General features: G+C 49.3%; 3 protein-coding genes and 1 pseudogene across 3 annotated transcripts; all 4 read left to right on the forward strand.

Annotated features, from left to right (window-relative positions):
* Window positions 1–3,066: 3,066 nt before the first annotated feature.
* USP17L20 (ubiquitin specific peptidase 17 like family member 20) lies at window positions 3,067–4,659 on the forward strand. Its single transcript, NM_001256861.1, has one exon. It carries the CDS (start codon window positions 3,067–3,069, stop codon window positions 4,657–4,659), a length of 1,593 nt encoding a protein of 530 aa, NP_001243790.1.
* Window positions 4,660–7,814: 3,155 nt separating this feature from the next.
* On the forward strand, window positions 7,815–9,407 carry USP17L21 (ubiquitin specific peptidase 17 like family member 21). The gene has a single exon (NM_001256862.1). It carries the CDS (start codon window positions 7,815–7,817, stop codon window positions 9,405–9,407), a length of 1,593 nt encoding a protein of 530 aa, NP_001243791.1.
* Window positions 12,562–14,154, forward strand: LOC124906414 (ubiquitin carboxyl-terminal hydrolase 17-like protein 20; annotated as a pseudogene).
* Window positions 12,562–14,154, forward strand: USP17L22 (ubiquitin specific peptidase 17 like family member 22). Its single transcript, NM_001256863.1, has one exon. It carries the CDS (start codon window positions 12,562–12,564, stop codon window positions 14,152–14,154), a length of 1,593 nt encoding a protein of 530 aa, NP_001243792.1.

Consider the following 17,859-nt stretch of genomic DNA (forward strand, 5'->3'; position numbering starts at 1 on the left):
ACGCAAACACACACACACCCACACAAACACGAACACCGTCAATCCTACATAAACTAATGAGGAGCCCAACTTTCTGTCTCTACAACAGGGACAACTGGATAGTGATGGCTACATCTCAGGATGAGCCCGCATATGGGAAACATCAAGTTTTGGGGTCGTGAGTCTTCCGAACCTCTGGAGGGACTGTCTGAGTGTTTGTGTTCATGATAGGTGACATTCAGTGTGTATTTCTGAATATGACCTACCGACGCGTAGGTTTGCGTGTGAGGTAATTGCAGGGGACTCGGTTTCGTATTTTCTCTTGGGGTGTGTTTCATTCGTCAGTTGTTGGTCGGCATGAGAAGGTGAAAGGTGGCTCATGTGGGACATCCGTGGATCATTCTCGCCACCTTGAATAGTGGAAACTGGAATGCATTTGGAAGAGAAGAACGGTGCTCTTCTTTCTTCCCCGGGCTCGCCGTTTTTACACTGGTTCCTGAATGGACCTCAGGCGCCCTGGGACTTGTGCTCTTGCTGGAACCCACATAACGCCGGAAGCGGACAGACCGACTTGCCTGTTTCACGGTGCCCGCTTCCCATGAGTCGAAACGGAAAATTTTCCCACGGGCATGTAAGTCATCTGGAAGTAAGCTGTATTGATAATAAAGGAAAGCAAACACAGGAGTGTGTGTATTCAACTGAAATAAATTCAGAAAGCCCTGAAATCAATCTCACTGGGTGTGTTTAAAAATGGCATTTGGGGAATTTCTGGGTCATTTGTCCAGCTGCGAAAGCTGCATCTCTGAAGCACAGTCCCTGTCCCGCAGTGAGACTTATTGATCCGACGTGGTGTTTCCGTGGAAATGATTGTGGGAAATGGCCCCTTCCTTTTCTCTATTTGCTGATTAGACTTCATGGTCCCTTTCTCGTCAGGTACAGTGATCAAAGTTGACCAACCCCAGAGGAAAGCTGCCCAGGGCACAACTCAGGGCTCCGTAGAACCACAGAATCTTGGGCGCAACCCTGCTCAAGCACCCAAATGTGCATACGAACAGGGTCTCCGTGTGACGTGTGTGAAAACTACAGTGTGATGAGCATGACTGGCAGACAGCTTATCGATTGGGCTCCCCTCAAAATCGGTTATGAGCATTCAAGCACACCGATGCCCAGGTCCCGGCTGCAGGAATAAGACCCTCCAGGGTCTTGTGTGAAGCCTCGGCATCTGCATTGCTCATGCTTCTGGGGATCATTCTCCTGAAAATGGTGGCTCCTTTCTCCCTGTGGAGCATCTTTCTAAGCAGTGCTCTTTTCTTCCCCCAGGACACTTTACATCCGGCACAGGAAGCCTTCTGATGGAGCACACCTGGCCCATGAAAAGACAAGGGAAAGAAACGGGGCCAAAGGTCACAGTCCTCTCATCCCATCATCCTCCTTAAAATCATCCTAATTTCATGGGCCCTGAAGCCAGGGCTGTTTCTTTACACCTAGAGGCCTTGGCGCCGGGCCTCAATTCCGCCCTGTTCCTTACCGTCTAAGACATGTTGGGAAAATCCCTAGAGCCAGGATCTTCATTCCTGCTAAGCCAGACAGCCGGAAGACACACCCAAATTCTGTCCCTCTTACTTCAGGGAACATGTCCACTTTCGGCAGCATTACAATTTTGGCACCAAATGTGCTAACTGCAATTCCACCATACAATGCGTAACTGGAAATGGAGGCAACATCTCCGATCCTGAACGATCGATGCGAGAATCCAGGATATGCACGGCTTATTTTGGCCTTTTCCCACTGAAACAAGGGCCAGTATTAAAAATGGCACGCTATCCTCTGTTTCACTCCCTGCTTTTAAACGTCTCCGATGTTTCTCCCTGAGACAGGGCCTCACTTCCGTCAGCCGGGCTTTTCTACGGTATAATTTTCCTTGTTTGCTTTTGTCCAAATTAGAACTTTTTATTTCATCTCTAGGAAACGTTGATCCATTATCACATACGTATGGAAATATTATCACACATGCTGTGAGATACGTTGTTTTTATTTTCATCAATTCTTTAATAAACAAAAGGGTATAGCTGGGATACCTTCTGAGTTCTCAAGTTTTTTGTTTCGTGTTTTCTTAAACTGCCGTCGCACGTCCGAAACCGCTCACTATGCAGTGTCATGACCGTCTCTCTTTTCTGGCAAACATAAATTTGGGGATTGTCATCAATTAGTCTCTCGGGGATTGCATGATTTCCCCAAAGGCTTTCACAGTCTACTTTGTGCACTGAGTATCTCTTCAAACTTCAGTGCATGTTTCTACCATTTGATTCTTTCTTATTTGGCAATCTAGCTTCCACAAGAGCATTTCATGCAAAGACTTGTCTTGTTCTCCCCTGGCAGGTAATTTCACTCGGACAGAGAATCAATAGGCTCAACGTGGAAAGGTTATCGCTGGAAGGTCTGTTTGATTCCACGGATCTCTCCTTTCTCACTAGGGAAGAAAATACGCTGTGCTAAATACTATACTTCATTGACTATTCTCAGGTCAGAAAGCGCACTTTCGACTTCTTGTCCTTCCGTCGCTGAGAGGATGATGGCAGCTGCCAAAAGTACCTACTTGGAGGTTCATCCCAGCACAAACACACACACACACACGCCCCCCCCCACACACACACAAACACACTCACACACACACACGCACACGGTTTCCTAGGTAAAGATTTCTTCCCTGCCATTGCTTTACCTAAAATAAGGCAACTGTGAGGCCACTGTCCCAACCCGGTTACACTCCTATTATATGTGCCTATCATCCTGAGGAGTAATTTGATTCAGGTGTTCTGGAAGTCATGCTGTGGGCTGTGTCTGTTGAATTCCCAGCGATGCCAGGGGACACACCCTGTGACTCCTTCCTGAATTGAGTGCTGTTATTTGATTGGCTTATCGCGCACCTGATGAGTGGGTGGGGTGTTCGCGGTTGGTGGGGGTGACTTATAGAAGGGCTGATGCGGCCAGAGAGCTCGTCATTTGAAGACTCTCTCGGAAGGGATAGCGTCTTTCTGCAACCTGCGGTCCCAGCAGAAAAACCTTGTGATCCTCGTTCCAGTCGACATGGAGGACGACTCACTCTACTTGGGAGGTGAGTGGCAGTTCAACCACTTTTCAAAACTCACATCTTCTCGGCCCGATGCAGCTTTTGCTGAAATCCAGCGGACTTCTCTCCCTGAGAAGTCACCACTCTCATGTGAGACCCGTGTCGACCTCTGTGATGATTTGGCTCCTGTGGCAAGACAGCTTGCTCCCAGGGAGAAGCTTCCTCTGAGTAGCAGGAGACCTGCTGCGGTGGGGGCTGGGCTCCAGAATATGGGAAATACCTGCTACGTGAACGCTTCCTTGCAGTGCCTGACATACACACCGCCCCTTGCCAACTACATGCTGTCCCGGGAGCACTCTCAAACGTGTCATCGTCACAAGGGCTGCATGCTCTGTACGATGCAAGCTCACATCACACGGGCCCTCCACAATCCTGGCCACGTCATCCAGCCCTCACAGGCATTGGCTGCTGGCTTCCATAGAGGCAAGCAGGAAGATGCCCATGAATTTCTCATGTTCACTGTGGATGCCATGAAAAAGGCATGCCTTCCCGGGCACAAGCAGGTGGATCATCACTCTAAGGACACCACCCTCATCCACCAAATATTTGGAGGCTACTGGAGATCTCAAATCAAGTGTCTCCACTGCCACGGCATTTCAGACACTTTTGACCCTTACCTGGACATCGCCCTGGATATCCAGGCAGCTCAGAGTGTCCAGCAAGCTTTGGAACAGTTGGTGAAGCCCGAAGAACTCAATGGAGAGAATGCCTATCATTGTGGTGTTTGTCTCCAGAGGGCGCCGGCCTCCAAGACGTTAACTTTACACACCTCTGCCAAGGTCCTCATCCTTGTATTGAAGAGATTCTCCGATGTCACAGGCAACAAGATTGCCAAGAATGTGCAATATCCTGAGTGCCTTGACATGCAGCCATACATGTCTCAGCCGAACACAGGACCTCTCGTCTATGTCCTCTATGCTGTGCTGGTCCACGCTGGGTGGAGTTGTCACAACGGACATTACTTCTCTTATGTCAAAGCTCAAGAAGGCCAGTGGTATAAAATGGATGATGCCGAGGTCACCGCCTCTAGCATCACTTCTGTCCTGAGTCAACAGGCCTACGTCCTCTTTTACATCCAGAAGAGTGAATGGGAAAGACACAGTGAGAGTGTGTCAAGAGGCAGAGAACCAAGAGCCCTTGGCGCAGAAGACACAGACAGGCGAGCAACGCAAGGAGAGCTCAAGAGAGACCACCCCTGCCTCCAGGCCCCCGAGTTGGACGAGCACTTGGTGGAAAGAGCCACTCAGGAAAGCACCTTAGACCACTGGAAATTCCTTCAAGAGCAAAACAAAACGAAGCCTGAGTTCAACGTCAGAAAAGTCGAAGGTACCCTGCCTCCCGACGTACTTGTGATTCATCAATCAAAATACAAGTGTGGGATGAAGAACCATCATCCTGAACAGCAAAGCTCCCTGCTAAACCTCTCTTCGACGACCCCGACACATCAGGAGTCCATGAACACTGGCACACTCGCTTCCCTGCGAGGGAGGGCCAGGAGATCCAAAGGGAAGAACAAACACAGCAAGAGGGCTCTGCTTGTGTGCCAGTGATCTCAGTGGAAGTACCGACCCACACGTAGGGGTGCACACACACACGCACACACACAGACACACACATAACTACACCCAGAAGCGCGCACGCAAACACACACACACCCACACAAACACGAACACCGTCAATCCTACATAAACTAATGAGGAGCCCAAGTTTCTGTCTCTACAACAGGGACAACTGGATAGTGATGGCTACATCTCAGGATGAGCCCGCATATGGGAAACATCAAGTTTTGGGGTCGTGAGTCTTCCGAACCTCTGGTGGGACTGTCTGAGTGTTTGTGTTCATGATAGGTGACATTCAGTGTGTATTTCTGAATATGACCTACCGACGTGTAGGTTTGCGTGTGAGGTAATTGCAGGGGACTCGGTTTCGTATTTTCTCTTGGGGTGTGTTTCATTCGTCAGTTGTTGGTCGGCATGAGAAGGTGAAAGGTGGCTCATGTGGGACATCCGTGGATCATTCTCGCCACCTTGAATAGTGGAAACTGGAATGCATTTGGAAGAGAAGAACGGTGCTCTTTTTTCTTCCCCGGGCTCGCCGTTTTTACACTGGTTCCTGAATGGACCTCAGGCGCCCTGGGACTTGTGCTCTTGCTGGAACCCACATAACGCCGGAAGAGGACAGACCGACTTGCCTGTTTCACGGTGCCCGCTTCCCATGAGTCCAAACGGAAAATTTTCCCACGGGCATGTAAGTCATCTGGAAGTAAGCTGTATTGATAATAAAGGAAAGCAAACACAGGAGTGTGTGTATTCAACTGAAATAAATTCAGAAAGCCCTGAAATCAATCTCACTGGGTGTGTTTAAAAATGGCATTTGGGGAATTTCTGGGTCATTTGTCCAGCTGCGAAAGCTGCATCTCTGAAGCACAGTCCCTGTCCCGCAGTGAGACTTATTGATCCGACGTGGTGTTTCCGTGGAAATGATTGTGGGAAATGGCCCCTTCCTTTTCTCTATTTGCTGATTAGACTTCATGGTCCCTTTCTCGTCAGGTACAGTGATCAAAGTTGACCAACCCCAGAGGAAAGCTGCCCAGGGCACAACTCAGGGCTCCGTAGAACCACAGAATCTTGGGCGCAACCCTGCTCAAGCACCCAAATGTGCATACGAACAGGGTCTCCGTGTGACGTGTGTGAAAACTACAGTGTGATGAGCATGACTGGCAGACAGCTTATCGATTGGGCTCCCCTCAAAATCGGTTATGAGCATTCAAGCACACCGATGCCCAGGTCCCGGCTGCAGGAATAAGACCCTCCAGGGTCTTGTGTGAAGCCTCGGCATCTGCATTGCTCATGCTTCTGGGGATCATTCTCCTGAAAATGGTGGCTCCTTTCTCCCTGTGGAGCATCTTTCTAAGCAGTGCTCTTTTCTTCCCCCAGGACACTTTACATCCGGCACAGGAAGCCTTCTGATGGAGCACACCTGGCCCATGAAAAGACAAGGGAAAGAAACGGGGCCAAAGGTCACAGTCCTCTCATCCCATCATCCTCCTTAAAATCATCCTAATTTCATGGGCCCTGAAGCCAGGGCTGTTTCTTTACACCTAGAGGCCTTGGCGCCGGGCCTCAATTCCGCCCTGTTCCTTACCGTCTAAGACATGTTGGGAAAATCCCTAGAGCCAGGATCTTCATTCCTGCTAAGCCAGACAGCCGGAAGACACACCCAAATTCTGTCCCTCTTACTTCAGGGAACATGTCCACTTTCGGCAGCATTACAATTTTGGCACCAAATGTGCTAACTGCAATTCCACCATACAATGCGTAACTGGAAATGGAGGCAACATCTCCGATCCTGAACGATCGATGCGAGAATCCAGGATATGCACGGCTTATTTTGGCCTTTTCCCACTGAAACAAGGGCCAGTATTAAAAATGGCACGCTATCCTCTGTTTCACTCCCTGCTTTTAAACGTCTCCGATGTTTCTCCCTGAGACAGGGCCTCACTTCCGTCAGCCGGGCTTTTCTACGGTATAATTTTCCTTGTTTGCTTTTGTCCAAATTAGAACTTTTTATTTCACCTCTAGGAAACGTTGATCCATTATCACATACGTATGGAAATATTATCACACATGCTGTGAGATACGTTGTTTTTATTTTCATCAATTCTTTAATAAACAAACGGTTATAGCTGGGATACCTTCTGAGTTCTCAAGTTTTTTGTTTCGTGTTTTCTTAAACTGCCGTCGCACGTCCGAAACCGCTCACTATGCAGTGTCATGACCGTCTCTCTTTTCTGGCAAACATAAATTTGGGGATTGTCATCAATTAGTCTCTCGGGGATTGCATGATTTCCCCAAAGGCTTTCACAGTCTACTTTGTGCACTGAGTATCTCTTCAAACTTCAGTGCATGTTTCTACCATTTCATGCTTTCTTATTTGGCAATCTAGCTTCCACAAGAGCATTTCATGCAAAGACTTGTCTTGTTCTCCACTGGCAGGTAATTTCACTCAGATAGAGAATCAATAGGCTCAACGTGGAAAGGTTATCGCTGGAAGGTCTGTTTGATTCCACGGATCTCTCCTTTCTCACTAGGGAAGAAAATACGCTGTGCTAAATACTATACTTCATTGACTATTCTCAGGTCAGAAAGCGCACTTTCGACTTCTTGTCTTTCCGTCGCTGAGAGGATGATGGCAGTTGCCAAAAGTACATACTTGGAAGTTCATCCCAGCACAAACACACACACACACGCGCCCCCCCCACACACACACACACGAACACAATCACACACACACACTCACACGGTTTCCTACGTAAAGATTTCTTCCCTGTCATTGCTTTACCTAAAATAAGGCAACTGTGTGGCCACTGTCCCAACCCGGTTACACTCCTATTATATGTGCCTATCATCCTGAGGAGTAATTTGATTCAGGTGTTCTGGAAGTCATGCTGTGGGCTGTGTCTGTTGAATTCCCAGCGATGCAAGGGGACACACCCTGTGACTCCTTCCTGAATTGAGTGCTGATATTTGATTGGCTTATCGCGCACCTGATGAGTGGGTGGGGTGTTCGCGGTTGGTGGGGTTGACTTACAGAAGGGCTGATGCGCCAGAGAGCTCGTCATTTGAAGACTCTCTCGGAAGGGATAGCGTCTTTCTGCAACCTGCGGTCCCAGCAGAAAAACCTTGTGATCCTTGTTCCAGTCGACATGGAGGAAGACTCACTCTACTTGGGAGGTGAGTGGCAGTTCAACCACTTTTCAAAACTCACATCTTCTCGGCCCGATGCAGCTTTTGCTGAAATCCAGCGGACTTCTCTCCCTGAGAAGTCACCACTCTCATGTGAGACCCGTGTCGACCTCTGTGATGATTTGGCTCCTGTGGCAAGACAGCTTGCTCCCAGGGAGAAGCTTCCTCTGAGTAACAGGAGACCTGCTGCGGTGGGGGCTGGGCTCCAGAATATGGGAAATACCTGCTACGTGAACGCTTCCTTGCAGTGCCTGACATACACACCGCCCCTTGCCAACTACATGCTGTCCCGGGAGCACTCTCAAACGTGTCATCGTCACAAGGGCTGCATGCTCTGTACGATGCAAGCTCACATCACACGGGCCCTCCACAATCCTGGCCACGTCATCCAGCCCTCACAGGCATTGGCTGCTGGCTTCCATAGAGGCAAGCAGGAAGATGCCCATGAATTTCTCATGTTCACTGTGGATGCCATGAAAAAGGCATGCCTTCCCGGGCACAAGCAGGTGGATCATCACTCTAAGGACACCACCCTCATCCACCAAATATTTGGAGGCTACTGGAGATCTCAAATCAAGTGTCTCCACTGCCACGGCATTTCAGACACTTTTGACCCTTACCTGGACATCGCCCTGGATATCCAGGCAGCTCAGAGTGTCCAGCAAGCTTTGGAACAGTTGGTGAAGCCCGAAGAACTCAATGGAGAGAATGCCTATCATTGTGGTGTTTGTCTCCAGAGGGCGCCGGCCTCCAAGATGTTAACTTTACTCACCTCTGCCAAGGTCCTCATCCTTGTATTGAAGAGATTCTCCGATGTCACAGGCAACAAGATTGCCAAGAATGTGCAATATCCTGAGTGCCTTGACATGCAGCCATACATGTCTCAGCCGAACACAGGACCTCTCGTCTATGTCCTCTATGCTGTGCTGGTCCACGCTGGGTGGAGTTGTCACAACGGACATTACTTCTCTTATGTCAAAGCTCAAGAAGGCCAGTGGTATAAAATGGATGATGCCGAGGTCACCGCCTCTAGCATCACTTCTGTCCTGAGTCAACAGGCCTACGTCCTCTTTTACATCCAGAAGAGTGAATGGGAAAGACACAGTGAGAGTGTGTCAAGAGGCAGAGAACCAAGAGCCCTTGGCGCAGAAGACACAGACAGGCGAGCAACGCAAGGAGAGCTCAAGAGAGACCACCCCTGCCTCCAGGCCCCCGAGTTGGACGAGCACTTGGTGGAAAGAGCCACTCAGGAAAGCACCTTAGACCACTGGAAATTCCTTCAAGAGCAAAACAAAACGAAGCCTGAGTTCAACGTCAGAAAAGTCGAAGGTACCCTGCCTCCCGACGTACTTGTGATTCATCAATCAAAATACAAGTGTGGGATGAAGAACCATCATCCTGAACAGCAAAGCTCCCTGCTAAACCTCTCTTCGTCGACCCCGACACATCAGGAGTCCATGAACACTGGCACACTCGCTTCCCTGCGAGGGAGGGCCAGGAGATCCAAAGGGAAGAACAAACACAGCAAGAGGGCTCTGCTTGTGTGCCAGTGATCTCAGTGGAAGTACCGACCCACACGTAGGGGTGCACACACACACGCACACACACAGACACACACATAACTACACCCAGAAGCGCGCACGCAAACACACACACACCCACACAAACACGAACACCGTCAATCCTACATAAACTAATGAGGAGCCCAAGTTTCTGTCTCTACAACAGGGACAACTGGATAGTGATGGCTACATCTCAGGATGAGCCCGCATATGGGAAACATCAAGTTTTGGGGTCGTGAGTCTTCCGAACCTCTGGAGGGACTGTCTGAGTGTTTGTGTTCATGATAGGTGACATTCAGTGTGTATTTCTGAATATGACCTACCGACGTGTAGGTTTGCGTGTGAGGTAATTGCAGGGGACTCGGTTTCGTATTTTCTCTTGGGGTGTGTTTCATTCGTCAGTTGTTGGTCGGCATGAGAAGGTGAAAGGTGGCTCATGTGGGACATCCGTGGATCATTCTCGCCACCTTGAATAGTGGAAACTGGAATGCATTTGGAAGAGAAGAACGGTGCTCTTCTTTCTTCCCCGGGCTCGCCGTTTTTACACTGGTTCCTGAATGGACCTCAGGCGCCCTGGGACTTGTGCTCTTGCTGGAACCCACATAACGCCGGAAGCGGACAGACCGACTTGCCTGTTTCACGGTGCCCGCTTCCCATGAGTCGAAACGGAAAATTTTCCCACGGGCATGTAAGTCATCTGGAAGTAAGCTGTATTGATAATAAAGGAAAGCAAACACAGGAGTGTGTGTATTCAACTGAAATAAATTCAGAAAGCCCTGCAATCAATCTCACTGGGTGTGTTTAAAAATGGCATTTGGGGAATTTCTGGGTCATTTGTCCAGCTGCGAAAGCTGCATCTCTGAAGCACAGTCCCTGTCCCGCAGTGAGACTTATTGATCCGACGTGGTGTTTCCGTGGAAATGATTGTGGGAAATGGCCCCTTCCTTTTCTCTATTTGCTGATTAGACTTCATGGTCCCTTTCTCGTCAGGTACAGTGATCAAAGTTGACCAACCCCAGAGGAAAGCTGCCCAGGGCACAACTCAGGGCTCCGTAGAACCACAGAATCTTGGGCGCAACCCTGCTCAAGCACCCAAATGTGCATACGAACAGGGTCTCCGTGTGACGTGTGTGAAAACTACAGTGTGATGAGCATGACTGGCAGACAGCTTATCGATTGGGCTCCCCTCAAAATCGGTTATGAGCATTCAAGCACACCGATGCCCAGGTCCCGGCTGCAGGAATAAGACCCTCCAGGGTCTTGTGTGAAGCCTCGGCATCTGCATTGCTCATGCTTCTGGGGATCATTCTCCTGAAAATGGTGGCTCCTTTCTCCCTGTGGAGCATCTTTCTAAGCAGTGCTCTTTTCTTCCCCCAGGACACTTTACATCCGGCACAGGAAGCCTTCTGATGGAGCACACCTGGCCCATGAAAAGACAAGGGAAAGAAACGGGGCCAAAGGTCACAGTCCTCTCATCCCATCATCCTCCTTAAAATCATCCTAATTTCATGGGCCCTGAAGCCAGGGCTGTTTCTTTACACCTAGAGGCCTTGGCGCCGGGCCTCAATTCCGCCCTGTTCCTTACCGTCTAAGACATGTTGGGAAAATCCCTAGAGCCAGGATCTTCATTCCTGCTAAGCCAGACAGCCGGAAGACACACCCAAATTCTGTCCCTCTTACTTCAGGGAACATGTCCACTTTCGGCAGCATTACAATTTTGGCACCAAATGTGCTAACTGCAATTCCACCATACAATGCGTAACTGGAAATGGAGGCAACATCTCCGATCCTGAACGATCGATGCGAGAATCCAGGATATGCACGGCTTATTTTGGCCTTTTCCCACTGAAACAAGGGCCAGTATTAAAAATGGCACGCTATCCTCTGTTTCACTCCCTGCTTTTAAACGTCTCCGATGTTTCTCCCTGAGACAGGGCCTCACTTCCGTCAGCCGGGCTTTTCTACGGTATAATTTTCCTTGTTTGCTTTTGTCCAAATTAGAACTTTTTATTTCATCTCTAGGAAACGTTGATCCATTATCACATACGTATGGAAATATTATCACACATGCTGTGAGATACGTTGTTTTTATTTTCATCAATTCTTTAATAAACAAAAGGGTATAGCTGGGATACCTTCTGAGTTCTCAAGTTTTTTGTTTCGTGTTTTCTTAAACTGCCGTCGCACGTCCGAAACCGCTCACTATGCAGTGTCATGACCGTCTCTCTTTTCTGGCAAACATAAATTTGGGGATTGTCATCAATTAGTCTCTCGGGGATTGCATGATTTCCCCAAAGGCTTTCACAGTCTACTTTGTGCACTGAGTATCTCTTCAAACTTCAGTGCATGTTTCTACCATTTGATTCTTTCTTATTTGGCAATCTAGCTTCCACAAGAGCATTTCATGCAAAGACTTGTCTTGTTCTCCCCCTGGCAGGTAATTTCACTCGGACAGAGAATCAATAGGCTCAACGTGGAAAGGTTATCGCTGGAAGGTCTGTTTGATTCCACGGATCTCTCCTTTCTCACTAGGGAAGAAAATACGCTGTGCTAAATACTATACTTCATTGACTATTCTCAGGTCAGAAAGCGCACTTTCGACTTCTTGTCCTTCCGTCGCTGAGAGGATGATGGCAGCTGCCAAAAGTACCTACTTGGAGGTTCATCCCAGCACAAACACACACACACACACGCCCCCCCCCACACACACACAAACACACTCACACACACACACGCACACGGTTTCCTAGGTAAAGATTTCTTCCCTGCCATTGCTTTACCTAAAATAAGGCAACTGTGAGGCCACTGTCCCAACCCGGTTACACTCCTATTATATGTGCCTATCATCCTGAGGAGTAATTTGATTCAGGTGTTCTGGAAGTCATGCTGTGGGCTGTGTCTGTTGAATTCCCAGCGATGCCAGGGGACACACCCTGTGACTCCTTCCTGAATTGAGTGCTGTTATTTGATTGGCTTATCGCGCACCTGATGAGTGGGTGGGGTGTTCGCGGTTGGTGGGGGTGACTTATAGAAGGGCTGATGCGGCCAGAGAGCTCGTCATTTGAAGACTCTCTCGGAAGGGATAGCGTCTTTCTGCAACCTGCGGTCCCAGCAGAAAAACCTTGTGATCCTCGTTCCAGTCGACATGGAGGACGACTCACTCTACTTGGGAGGTGAGTGGCAGTTCAACCACTTTTCAAAACTCACATCTTCTCGGCCCGATGCAGCTTTTGCTGAAATCCAGCGGACTTCTCTCCCTGAGAAGTCACCACTCTCATGTGAGACCCGTGTCGACCTCTGTGATGATTTGGCTCCTGTGGCAAGACAGCTTGCTCCCAGGGAGAAGCTTCCTCTGAGTAGCAGGAGACCTGCTGCGGTGGGGGCTGGGCTCCAGAATATGGGAAATACCTGCTACGTGAACGCTTCCTTGCAGTGCCTGACATACACACCGCCCCTTGCCAACTACATGCTGTCCCGGGAGCACTCTCAAACGTGTCATCGTCACAAGGGCTGCATGCTCTGTACGATGCAAGCTCACATCACACGGGCCCTCCACAATCCTGGCCACGTCATCCAGCCCTCACAGGCATTGGCTGCTGGCTTCCATAGAGGCAAGCAGGAAGATGCCCATGAATTTCTCATGTTCACTGTGGATGCCATGAAAAAGGCATGCCTTCCCGGGCACAAGCAGGTGGATCATCACTCTAAGGACACCACCCTCATCCACCAAATATTTGGAGGCTACTGGAGATCTCAAATCAAGTGTCTCCACTGCCACGGCATTTCAGACACTTTTGACCCTTACCTGGACATCGCCCTGGATATCCAGGCAGCTCAGAGTGTCCAGCAAGCTTTGGAACAGTTGGTGAAGCCCGAAGAACTCAATGGAGAGAATGCCTATCATTGTGGTGTTTGTCTCCAGAGGGCGCCGGCCTCCAAGACGTTAACTTTACACACCTCTGCCAAGGTCCTCATCCTTGTATTGAAGAGATTCTCCGATGTCACAGGCAACAAGATTGCCAAGAATGTGCAATATCCTGAGTGCCTTGACATGCAGCCATACATGTCTCAGCAGAACACAGGACCTCTCGTCTATGTCCTCTATGCTGTGCTGGTCCACGCTGGGTGGAGTTGTCACAACGGACATTACTTCTCTTATGTCAAAGCTCAAGAAGGCCAGTGGTATAAAATGGATGATGCCGAGGTCACCGCCTCTAGCATCACTTCTGTCCTGAGTCAACAGGCCTACGTCCTCTTTTACATCCAGAAGAGTGAATGGGAAAGACACAGTGAGAGTGTGTCAAGAGGCAGAGAACCAAGAGCCCTTGGCGCAGAAGACACAGACAGGCGAGCAACGCAAGGAGAGCTCAAGAGAGACCACCCCTGCCTCCAGGCCCCCGAGTTGGACGAGCACTTGGTGGAAAGAGCCACTCAGGAAAGCACCTTAGACCACTGGAAATTCCTTCAAGAGCAAAACAAAACGAAGCCTGAGTTCAACGTCAGAAAAGTCGAAGGTACCCTGCCTCCCGACGTACTTGTGATTCATCAATCAAAATACAAGTGTGGGATGAAGAACCATCATCCTGAACAGCAAAGCTCCCTGCTAAAACTCTCTTCGACGACCCCGACACATCAGGAGTCCATGAACACTGGCACACTCGCTTCCCTGCGAGGGAGGGCCAGGAGATCCAAAGGGAAGAACAAACACAGCAAGAGGGCTCTGCTTGTGTGCCAGTGATCTCAGTGGAAGTACCGACCCACACGTAGGGGTGCACACACACACGCACACACACAGACACACACATAACTACACCCAGAAGCGCGCACGCAAACACACACACACCCACACAAACACGAACACCGTCAATCCTACATAAACTAATGAGGAGCCCAAGTTTCTGTCTCTACAACAGGGACAACTGGATAGTGATGGCTACATCTCAGGATGAGCCCGCATATGGGAAACATCAAGTTTTGGGGTCGTGAGTCTTCCGAACCTCTGGTGGGACTGTCTGAGTGTTTGTGTTCATGATAGGTGACATTCAGTGTGTATTTCTGAATATGACCTACCGACGTGTAGGTTTGCGTGTGAGGTAATTGCAGGGGACTCGGTTTCGTATTTTCTCTTGGGGTGTGTTTCATTCGTCAGTTGTTGGTCGGCATGAGAAGGTGAAAGGTGGCTCATGTGGGACATCCGTGGATCATTCTCGCCACCTTGAATAGTGGAAACTGGAATGCATTTGGAAGAGAAGAACGGTGCTCTTCTTTCTTCCCCGGGCTCGCCGTTTTTACACTGGTTCCTGAATGGACCTCAGGCGCCCTGGGACTTGTGCTCTTGCTGGAACCCACATAACGCCGGAAGCGGACAGACCGACTTGCCTGTTTCACGATGCCCGCTTCCCATGAGTCCAAACGGAAAATTTTCCCACGGGCATGTAAGTCATCTGGAAGTAAGCTGTATTGATAATAAAGGAAAGCAAACACAGGAGTGTGTGTATTCAACTGAAATAAATTCAGAAAGCCCTGCAATCAATCTCACTGGGTGTGTTTAAAAATGGCATTTGGGGAATTTCTGGGTCATTTGTCCAGCTGCGAAAGCTGCATCTCTGAAGCACAGTCCCTGTCCCGCAGTGAGACTTATTTATCCGACGTGGTGTTTCCGTGGAAATGATTGTGGGAAATGGCCCCTTCCTTTTCTCTATTTGCTGATTAGACTTCATGGTCCCTTTCTCGTCAGGTACAGTGATCAAAGTTGACCAGCCCCAGAGGAAAGCTGCCCAGGGCACAACTCAGGGCTCCGTAGAACCACAGAATCTTGGGCGCAACCCTGCTCAAGCACCCAAATGTGCATACGAACAGGGTCTCCGTGTGACGTGTGTGAAAACTACAGTGTGATGAGCATGACTGGCAGACAGCTTATCGATTGGGCTCCCCTCAAAATCGGTTATGAGCATTCAAGCACACCGATGCCCAGGTCCCGGCTGCAGGAATAAGACCCTCCAGGGTCTTGTGTGAAGCCTCGGCATCTGCATTGCTCATGCTTCTGGGGATCATTCTCCTGAAAATGGTGGCTCCTTTCTCCCTGTGGAGCATCTTTCTAAGCAGTGCTCTTTTCTTCCCCCAGGACACTTTACATCCGGCACAGGAAGCCTTCTGATGGAGCACACCTGGCCCATGAAAAGACAAGGGAAAGAAACGGGGCCAAAGGTCACAGTCCTCTCATCCCATCATCCTCCTTAAAATCATCCTAATTTCATGGGCCCTGAAGCCAGGGCTGTTTCTTTACACCTAGAGGCCTTGGCGCCGGGCCTCAATTCCGCCCTGTTCCTTACCGTCTAAGACGTGTTGGGAAAATCCCTAGAGCCAGGATCTTCATTCCTGCTAAGCCAGACAGCCGGAAGACACACCCAAATTCTGTCCCTCTTACTTAGGGAACATGTCCACTTTCGGCAGCATTACAATTTTGGCACCAAATGTGCTAACTGCAATTCCACCATACAATGCGTAACTGGAAATGGAGGCAACATCTCCGATCCTGAACGATCGATGCGAGAATCCAGGATATGCACGGCTTATTTTGGCCTTTTCCCACTGATACAAGGGCCAGTATTAAAAATGGCACGCTATCCTCTGTTTCACTCCCTGCTTTTAAACGTCTCCGATGTTTCTCCCTGAGACAGGGCCTCACTTCCGTCAGCCGGGCTTTTCTACGGTATAATTTTCCTTGTTTGCTTTTGTCCAAATTAGAACTTTTTATTTCATCTCTAGGAAACGTTGATCCATTATCACATACGTATGGAAATATTATCACACATGCTGTGAGATACGTTGTTTTTATTTTCATCAATTCTTTAATAAACAAAAGGGTATAGCTGGGATACCTTCTGAGTTCTCAAGTTTTTTGTTTCGTGTTTTCTTAAACTGCCGTCGCACGTCCGAAACCGCTCACTATGCAGTGTCATGACCGTCTCTCTTTTCTGGCAAACATAAATTTGGGGATTGTCATCAATTAGTCTCTCGGGGATTGCATGATTTCCCCAAAGGCTTTCACAGTCTACTTTGTGCACTGAGTATCTCTTCAAACTTCAGTGCATGTTTCTACCATTTGATTCTTTCTTATTTGGCAATCTAGCTTCCACAAGAGCATTTCATGCAAAGACTTGTCTTGTTCTCCACTGGCAGGTAATTTCACTCGGACAGAGAATCAATAGGCTCAACGTGGAAAGGTTATCGCTGGAAGGTCTGTTTGATTCCACGGATCTCTCCTTTCTCACTAGGGAAGAAAATACGCTGTGCTAAATACTATACTTCATTGACTATTCTCAGGTCAGAAAGCGCACTTTCGACTTCTTGTCCTTCCGTCGCTGAGAGGATGATGGCAGCTGCCAAAAGTACCTACTTGGAGGTTCATCCCAGCACAAACACACACACACACACGCCCCCCCACACACACACACAAACACACTCACACACACACACGCACACGGTTTCCTAGGTAAAGATTTCTTCCCTGCCATTGCTTTACCTAAAATAAGGCAACTGTGAGGCCACTGTCCCAACCCGGTTACACTCCTATTATATGTGCCTATCATCCTGAGGAGTAATTTGATTCAGGTGTTCTGGAAGTCATGCTGTGGGCTGTGTCTGTTGAATTCCCAGCGATGCCAGGGGACACACCCTGTGACTCCTTCCTGAATTGAGTGCTGATATTTGATTGGCTTATCGCGCACCTGATGAGTGGGTGGGGTGTTCGCGGTTGGTGGGGGTGACTTACAGAAGGGCTGATGCGGCCAGAGAGCTCGTCATTTGAAGACTCTCTCGGAAGGGATAGCGTCTTTCTGCAACCTGCGGTCCCAGCAGACAAACCTTGTGATCCTCGTTCCAGTCGACATGGAGGACGACTCACTCTACTTGGGAGGTGAGTGGCAGTTCAACCACTTTTCAAAACTCACATCTTCTCGGCCCGATGCAGCTTTTGCTGAAATCCAGCGGACTTCTCTCCCTGAGAAGTCACCACTCTCATGTGAGACCCGTGTCGACCTCTGTGATGATTTGGCTCCTGTGGCAAGACAGCTTGCTCCCAGGGAGAAGCTTCCTCTGAGTAGCAGGAGACCTGCTGCGGTGGGGGCTGGGCTCCAGAATATGGGAAATACCTGCTACGTGAACGCTTCCTTGCAGTGCCTGACATACACACCGCCCCTTGCCAACTACATGCTGTCCCGGGAGCACTCTCAAACGTGTCATCGTCACAAGGGCTGCATGCTCTGTACGATGCAAGCTCACATCACACGGGCCCTCCACAATCCTGGCCACGTCATCCAGCCCTCACAGGCATTGGCTGCTGGCTTCCATAGAGGCAAGCAGGAAGATGCCCATGAATTTCTCATGTTCACTGTGGATGCCATGGAAAAGGCATGCCTTCCCGGGCACAAGCAGGTAGATC

The sequence above is a fragment of the Homo sapiens genome, chromosome 4, assembly GCF_000001405.40.
Source record: "Homo sapiens chromosome 4, GRCh38.p14 Primary Assembly".
In the NCBI taxonomy this organism is placed as follows: Eukaryota; Metazoa; Chordata; class Mammalia; order Primates; family Hominidae; genus Homo; species Homo sapiens.